This window comes from Homo sapiens, chromosome 3 (genome assembly GCF_000001405.40).
Source record: "Homo sapiens chromosome 3, GRCh38.p14 Primary Assembly".
In the NCBI taxonomy this organism is placed as follows: Eukaryota; Metazoa; Chordata; class Mammalia; order Primates; family Hominidae; genus Homo; species Homo sapiens.
Genome location: NC_000003.12, coordinates 164195182 through 164203994, shown reverse-complemented (window position 1 = coordinate 164203994; position 8813 = coordinate 164195182). Strand labels below are relative to the sequence as shown.

The 8813-nt window shown below is 32.9% G+C and overlaps 1 long non-coding RNA gene across 2 annotated transcripts in view; it reads left to right on the top strand.

Annotated features, from left to right (window-relative positions):
- The first annotated feature begins 6442 nt into the window (after nt 1-6442).
- LOC102724419 (uncharacterized) overlaps nt 6443-8813 on the top strand; it is a 169359-nt gene continuing 166988 nt past the window's right edge. For both annotated transcript variants that reach the window (XR_001740997.2, XR_007096283.1), the window contains exon 1: nt 6443-7376. This is a non-coding gene — a long non-coding RNA (uncharacterized LOC102724419). The remainder of the gene's footprint in view (nt 7377-8813) is intronic.

The window sequence follows — 8813 nt, the reverse complement described above, 5'->3', positions numbered from 1 at the left end:
AGATAATTAGTATTGTCTATGATCATCAAGGTGGGGCCCTTATAATGGGATTGGTGGCTTTATATGAAGAAAAAAAGGGATCTGAGCTAGCACACTTGCTTTGTCTTGCAATGTAATATCTCCTGCCATGTCATAATGCAGCAGGAAGGCTCCAGTGCCATGCTCTTGGATTCCCCAGACTCCAGAACTGTGAACTAAATAAACTTATTTTCTCTATAAATTGCCCACCTTGTAGTATTCTGTTACAGCAATAGAAAATAGACCAATACAGTAGCCACATATTTTCCACAGAGGCTCAAGGTTCACAAGAAAGTTGAAATGTTTTATCCTATTATAGGCTAGACCTGGAATTGAAATATTTGATTAGTCAAAGGCAGGGTTCAGGCATACCAGACTCAAAAGTGTGAACGAATAAGCACCATATCTAAATGATGAAAATGACAATGCAATAATGACATTTCTAACTCAAACACATTCTAACCTTTGGTCACAAAGTATTTTTATTTTTCTTATATGCAAAATATACTCACCCTTTCCAAAACTTCAAAGATCTCAGGATTATATGACATGATGGTTAAGCTGAAATTCCTAGGTCTTGTCATAGAAATTATGGCCAGGTACAGATGAGACTCCTCATTTATGGCTTCTCATTATTTGAAGACCTATGGATTAAAATACAAGATATTTGAACACACTCTTCTCCTCCAATATACGATTTTTAGGCAAGGACTTGAAAGTAAGTCCATTCATACAGGGTGAAAATGAATGGACATGTCAGTCACTGGACTATTAAAGATCTAGAAAGGCAGTTTGAAATATATCTCCAGTTTCTGGATTAAGGCGTTGTTCTGCTTCCTAGAAATAATTCTGTGTCTCTTATGTTCATTCTTCTGCTATCTTGGCTACATCCTCTGAATAATCATTTCTTTCCCATTAGACATAATTTATTTTTTATGTTTGAGTAGCTTTCTCAGATTTCTCAGAAATTAGGATTACTACCCATTGGTAGTTGAGAGTTCAAAGGTCTCTTCTTTGCTTTATAAGTTACTGATATTTTCAGTCCATGTTAATGTAATTTCCTTAGAAACATTATGGGTTCCTGTACATCAATTTATAGTTTTACATGAGAAAAAAAAAGCCACAGTTCAAATCTCTTCCAGACAGGCCCTCCTCTATCTCCACTCATGAGTCAGTATGCTGTGGGACAAAATCTTTGAGACTGTAGAGGTCTCCTCTCTCTCTTACAAGGTTTACAAGGCAAGACTTTAAGATTCTTAGAAGTACTGCTACTACCTTAGAAAAACCTGTGAAGCATCCTCTTCAAAAAGGGTCTTTCATTTACACCACTTATATAATCTTGACCATAAAGCTGTTTTGCTTGTAGCACCTTGTAATGTGTCTTGCCCCAAGTTTGTATTTCTTTTTATAATCTTTTGTTCTTTAGAAAAGTTTGCAATTAACAGATATTTGTATTTCCCAACTTTGCAAGTCCTGTGTTGAAAATGTTTCTTTTAGGTACGTTTGAAAACTAAACAGTTCCTTCTATACTTAATCTCTTTCTATTTATATATTATCTTTCCTCTTATCATATGAAAGTTGAACTTTCAATATCCTGCTTGAAAATGTCCTTGGCCAATTCCACAACTTTAGGTATATGTGTGTGTGTGTGTGTGTGTGTGTGTGTGTGTGTGTGTGTGTGTGTGTATGTATTATTTTCCACATTACTTCAGTCCCAGTGTTGCCAAATATTCTTTTACTGAATAACATAGCTTGTCACTGTTCTACAGGTCTTAACTGATAGTTTTCTCAAGGAACCACTGCACCTTTTCACTAAGCAATCCTAAAGCCAATGTTTATAGGCTTTTGTTTTAGTAGCAGCCACTTTGGGTACAAATTTCTGCTATTGGTGTCTATAGATACCTAATAAACTCCTTCAGATTTGATAGGTTAAAAAAATTATCTCTCACAATTCTATATGATAACTTCTCTCTCTGCTCAACATGGTATCTACTAAGGTTGGAATGTCCAAGATGGTTTATTCATTCTTGTCTTTATCTCCTGATCTAGGATAGCTCTAATCAATGAAGACTAGCTGGAATGATTTAACTGGGGTCATATTTCTGGATTCTTAGTTTTATTTGTTAACTAAATTATTCTCTTCTCTTTCATGTAGTCTCTGGTCCGCTTCATTTCTTCATGGCATCTTTGTGTAGTCTGTCAAAGAGGGTAGCCTAAACTCTTGTTCTACAACAATTAATCTTTCTCATACTTAGGCAAAATCTGTTGTCTCCATAATATGAATAAAGAGGAATCTTGCAAACTTAAACTATTCTGCTTCTATTTCCTAACTTACCATATGATTTCTTAGCTATATTATCATTTTCTGTTTCAGTGGTTACAAGATTTGAATAATCAGCTCTTTTTTTATTTAGCAAATTTATACATGTTATCTTTTATCATCTATCATGAAATATCAGAAAATTAGAACAATATAACATTTCCACTAGCTTCTTGACACCTCTGCCAACGGTATTGTTAATTACAAATTTAAGGCTGCAATGAGAATATTGTGTAAGTCCTCTAGGTTTTGACTATACAAGTATTTCTAAAAAACTAAATTTCACTGTTTGTGCTTATGTAAATATCATTTACTGTGGTACATAATGGAGTTACATTTAAAAACTATCCTTAGGCAACTCAAATTTGCTGTTAAAATAAAAATATTTCAAGTATTCAGTCTAGTAAAACTTCTTCTCATTTTTTTCTGAATTTATTAAGTTAATTGTACTCTCTACTTTCCAATTTTGTCAGTAGGATATTATATTATATCTTGAATTCTCCTCAAACCCACCTCTGTGATTATACCTAAGTGGGGAAACTTTTTGAAATATTGCATACATCAAGATATCTCTCTTTGTACTCATCCTTGAAATGTGATTGGGTCTAAAATCCTAAGGTGAATATGATTTATTTTTCATATAGAACTTGAAAAGTAGTGTTTTTTAGCATTAACAGGTAATTGAATGACTAAAGGATACTTTTTTATTTGTTTATATGCAATGCTTTCTTCAATAGAATAATTTTTCTTTCTTTCTAGTATATGAATATTATGAATATGTCAAAAGCTCTGAAAAATAATGTTGCCTTTTTATTCTTGAAACCTTTAATGCCACTTTAGCAAACAATAAAAACCCTCAGATTCTCTTACCTTAAAGCAATCTGCCCCTGTCATGACTAACTTCAATGCACAGGATCAAAAAGTAGTATCTTACATATTAAAAACACTCATTGTAAGTTGTGTAAGGTTGCATGCTTGACAGACTTCTTAAATGCAAACATACTCCAGGGGTCCTGTAGAAAGTGTTAGTTGTCTTTTGATGGGTAGCATTTCCTGCTCAGTCAGTGGATTAGTGAGGATGAGATTAGCAGGCTGGGAAGTCAACTGCTGTAGCTGATGAGCATCCTATTTTTTAAAAAATTCAATTTTTTTCTTTTTTTCTTTTTGGATCTTCCACCTACTTTTAGCTTTTATTTTAAAAAATGCAGATGTTTCTGTTTTCTCATGAAAGAAAACACTTACTGTGTTCTATCTACAGTTGATAATTTCTTCCCCAATCACATCTATTTTCTATCTTCTACAAACACTTAAAAGTTATATTTCAATTATACAATCTCCTTTCTACTTCCATTAGTATTTCATTTATGGGTGACTTTTATGAGTATAGAGGATTGAGAATAAACAAACTTATGAATTCACTTTGCCAGAGGGCAAATTCTTGAATTACACTTTCGGGATTCATATCTTATCTCAGCTGTTAACAAACAGTATAACACTGGACAAGTTACTTAACCTTTCTCTGCATGCCTGTTTCTTCATACTTTAGTGATAATAACTACTTCATAGAAAGCTTATGAAAATTGAAAACATTTATATTGACAAAGCTCTTAGATGACCACTTTTCATATATGATCAGTGAAATAAAAGTGACAAATCCAAAAAGTTTTAAGAATAATTTAAAATACAAAATTATATAAAGTTATTCTAACATTAATAAACTGTATGTTTTAGTGTAAGTTAAATTATACCCTTCATAACTTTATATAGAAAGACAGCTGGGTATGGTGGCTCACACTTGTAATCCCAACACTTTTGGAGGCTGAGGCAGGAGGATTGCTTAAGCCCAGGAGTTTGAGACCAACCTTGGCAATACAAGGAGACCCTGTCTCTATAAAAATCATTTTTTTTTAAATTTTCAGATGTGGTGGCACATGACTGTAGCCCAGCTACTTGGGATGCAGAGGTGGGAGGATTGATTGAGCCAGGAGGCTGAGACTGCCATGAGCCATGATTGTGCCACTATACTCCAGCATGAGCAACAAAGCAAGACCCTTTCTCAAAAAAAAAAAAAAAAAAAGGAAAGAAAGAAAAGAAAAAGAAAAACAAGCACATTTTATTTTCTTCTAGCCATTAACCAGACTATATTATAAGATCAAGTAACCATTTGTATAATATATAGTGGTTTATATGCACCCTCTACACACACACACACACACAGACACACACAAAACCCTATTAATGATTTACATAAAATCAAGGTGTATGTTTGTTCACCAATATTCAACACATAACTTCTTATTCACAATTGTATATAGTCACACACACATTTAGAAATTACACGCTGGCTTATAATTTGCTTTAAAAAGAACATATTACATTCATTGTTAAGAGTATTGGAAACATCACAGTAAAACATTTCAAGAGCTTTTGCAGACTTATTGAGAACACTTAGGCAAAGTGTTGATTCCAAAATGTCACACCCTGTAAAAACATTACTAAAGGCCTGTGAGCTTTATTTTAAACTGAAGCTCTTTAGTTTCATGAAATATTTCTATTATTCTGTCATGTTTTTTCTCTCACATAGTTATTATTTGAATTTGGCACAATTGGGGGAAAGATAGTTTTTACATGAAGGAGAATCCCCTATATAATATGGTTTATTGGAGATAATTAATTATTCTTTAGGGTCGATTCAGTTGTAGCATGTGTCAGAACAGTGAATCAAATAGTGATTTGACTGACAATACCACCTTTACAAACATTCGATTTATTTTTTTCTTAAAGTTACATGGCTTCCCCTCTGCTTTGTTGAAGCTGAGCTATTTGTCTTTATTGACATTAACTTCTAATTATATTTTTCAACTTTTATTTTGGTTTCAGAGGATGAATATGCATGTTTTTAACATTGATATGTTATGTAATGCGTAGGTTTGGAGTATGGATAATCCTGTCACTCAGTTAATGAGCACAGTACCCAATAGTTTTACAGTCTGTGCCCCCTTCTTTCTCACCCTCCTCCTCAGTACCTATTGTTTCCATCTCTATATCCCTGTATACTCAAGGTTTACCTCCCACTTGTAAGTGAGAACATGCAATATTTGTATTTCAACAGTATCTAAGCATTCTTTTCTTTGCCAGCATCTGTTACTTTTTGATTTTTTAACAATTCCCATTCTGACGTGAAATTGTATTTCATTCTGGTTTTCATTTGTGTTTCTCTGAAGATTAGTGATGATGAGCATTTTATCATATATGTTTGTTGGCCACTGGTAGGTCTTCTTTTGAGAAGTGTCTTTGCATGTTCTTTGCACACTTTTGAATAGGATTATTTGTTTTTTGCTTGTTGATTCGTTTGATTTCCTTATTAATTCTAGATACTTGGCCTTTGAAGGATGCACAGTTTGCAAATATTTTCTCCCATCTGCTACTTGTCGGTTTACTCTGTTGATCAGTTCTTTTGCTGTACAGAAGCTCTTTCATTTAATTAGGTCCCACTTCTAAATTTTTTTTTGTTACAATTGCTTTTGGGGACTTAGCCATAAATTCTTTGCTAAAGCTAATATCAAGAAGGGCATTTCCTAGGTTGTCTTCTAGGATTCTTATAGTTTGTGATCTTACATTTAAACTTTTAGTCCACCTGGAGTTAATTTTTGTACATGACAAAAGGTAGGGTTCCAGTTTCATTTTTCTGCCTATGGCTAGCTAGTCATCTCTACACCATTTATTAATTATGGTAGACTTTTCCCGTTGCTTGTTTTTGTTGACTCTGTCAAGGATCATATGATTGTAGGTGTGCAGGTTTATTTCTGGGCTCCCTATTATGTTCCATTAGCTTATATTTCTATTTTTGTACCATGTTATTTAGTTACTGTAGCCTTATAGTATAGTTTGAAGTTCAGTAATATGATGCCTCTAGCTTGGTTTTTTGCTTATAATGCTTTGGTTGTTCGGGCTATTTTTATGATTCCATATAAATTTTAGAATAGTTTTTTCCATATCTGTGAAAAAATGACATTGGTATTTTGATAGAAATAGCATTAAATCTGTAAATTGCTTTGGACAGTATGGCCATTTTAACAATACTGATTCTTCCGATCCATGAATGTGGACGTTTTTTTTTTTTCATTTATATGTATTGTCTGGATTTATTTCAGCATTTTTTGTAGTTTTCCTTGTAGAGATCTTCGACACCCTTGGTTAGGTGTCTTATTAGATATTTCCCTTTTTTATGGCTATTGTAAATGGGTTTGTGTTCTTGATTTAGCTCTCATTGAGGATATTATTGGTATATAGAAATGCTACTGGGTTTCATACATTGATTTTGTATCCTGTAAATTTACTGAAGTTATTTATCAGTTCGAGGAGCAGTTGGGCAAAGACTATGGGGTTTTCTAGGTATAGAATTATGTTAATAGTTAAGAGAGATATTTTCCCTTCTTCTTTTCCTATTTAGATGCCTTTTTATTCTCTCACCTCTGATTGTTCTGGCTAGGACATCCAGTACTATGTTGAATAGCAGTGGTGAGAGTAGGCATTCTTGTCCTTCCAGTTCTCAAGGGAAATGGTCTCAGCTTTTTCTTGTTCAGTATGATATTGGCTGTGGATTTGTCATCGATGGTTCTTATGATTTTGGACGTATGTTCCTTAGATACTCAGTCTGTTGGGGGTTTCTGTTATAAATGGATGTTGGATTTTATGGTGCTTTTTCTGCATCTATTGAGATGATCATGTGCTTTTTGTTTTTTATTCTGTTTATGTGATAAATCACATGTATTTATTTGAGTATGTTAAAACCCAACTTTTATATTCCAGGAATAAATCTTACTTGTTTTTGGTAAATTAACTTTGTGATATGTTATTAGATTCAGCTTGCTAGTATCTTCTTGAGGATTTTTACATCCATTTTCATCAAGTATACTGACTTGAAGTTTTCTTTTGTCATTGTGTCTCTGATAGATTGTGTATCAGGATGATGCTGACTTTGCAGAATAAGTTCGGAAGGAGCTCCTCATCATCAATTTTTTTGGAAATATTTTTGGTAAGATTGATACCACTTCTTTTCACATCCAGTAGAATTCTGCCATGAATCCATCTTGTTCAGGGATTTGTTGTTGTTGTTGTTTAATTAATGATTTGATATCGGAACTTTTTATTGGTCTTTTCAGGTTTCCACTTTCTTTCTGCTTCAATCTTGAGATGTTGTGTGTTTCCAGGAGTTGTTTTTCTGCAGATTTTCTAATTTTTGTGCATAGAGGTGTTCATAAGTCTTTGAGGATCTCTTATATTGCTGTGGGATGAGTTGTAATGTCACCTTTGTCATTTCTGATTGTACTTATTTGGATATTATCTTTTTTCCTTTGATAATCTAGCTGGAGTTCAATCAATCTTGTTTATTCTTTCAAATAACCAACTCTTGCCTTCATTGATATTTCAGTTGTTTGGATTTTTACATCTCAATTTCTTTTAGTTCTTCTTCTTTTTTTTTTTTTTTTGCGCTAACTTTGTGGTTATTTTGCTTGTTTTTTTATCCAGTTCCTCCTGGTATGATGTTAAATTGTTAATCTGAGATCTTTGTAACTTCTTGATAAAGGTATTTAGCATTATCAGCTTTCCACTTAACACTGCTTTACCCACATACCAGAGACTTGGAAAGTTGTGTCTCTATTTTTATTAATTTCTATTGTTTTTTTCATTTCTCCCTGAATTTTGTTTTTTACCCAAGTTATTCAGGAGCAAGTTGTCTAATTTCCTTTTTTTTTTAATAGATCTTCCTGGCATCACTTTCTATTTTTATTGCACTGTGGTCCACATTGTGCTTGGTATGATTTTGATTTTTTTAATTTATTGAGATTGGCTTTACGGTTGAGCATGTGGTCAATCTTAGACTATGTTCCATTATGAGGATGAGAAGAATGTATATTCTATGATTGTTGGGTGGAGTATTCTGTAGATGTTTATTAGGTCTAATTGATCATGTGTTGAGCTTAAGTATAGAATCTCTTCACTAGTTTTTGAGTAAATGATCTATCTAATGATATATTAGTGGAATTTTAAGTTCCTTACTCTTATTGTGTGGCAGTCTAAATACTGTCATAGATTTAAAAGAACTTGTTTTATGAATCTGGATGCTGCAATGTTGGGTAAAAATATATTTAGGATAGGTAAGTCTTCTTTTTGAATTGAACCTTTATCATTATATAATTTCCTTCTTGGTCTTTCCTGATTGTTTTTGGTTTGAAGTCTGTTTTATCTAGTATAAGAATAGTGAATCCTGCTCTTTTTTTGTTTTCCATTTGCATAGTAGTTCTTTGTCCATTTTAAAAAATTATTATTATTATTATTTTACTTTGAACCTTTGAATGTTACATGTGAGATTCATCTCTTGAAGACAGCAGAACGTTTTCTTTATCCTCCTGCCCTCTGTATGCCTTTGAAATGTGGCATTTAGACCATTTAAATTCAAGGTTAGTATTGA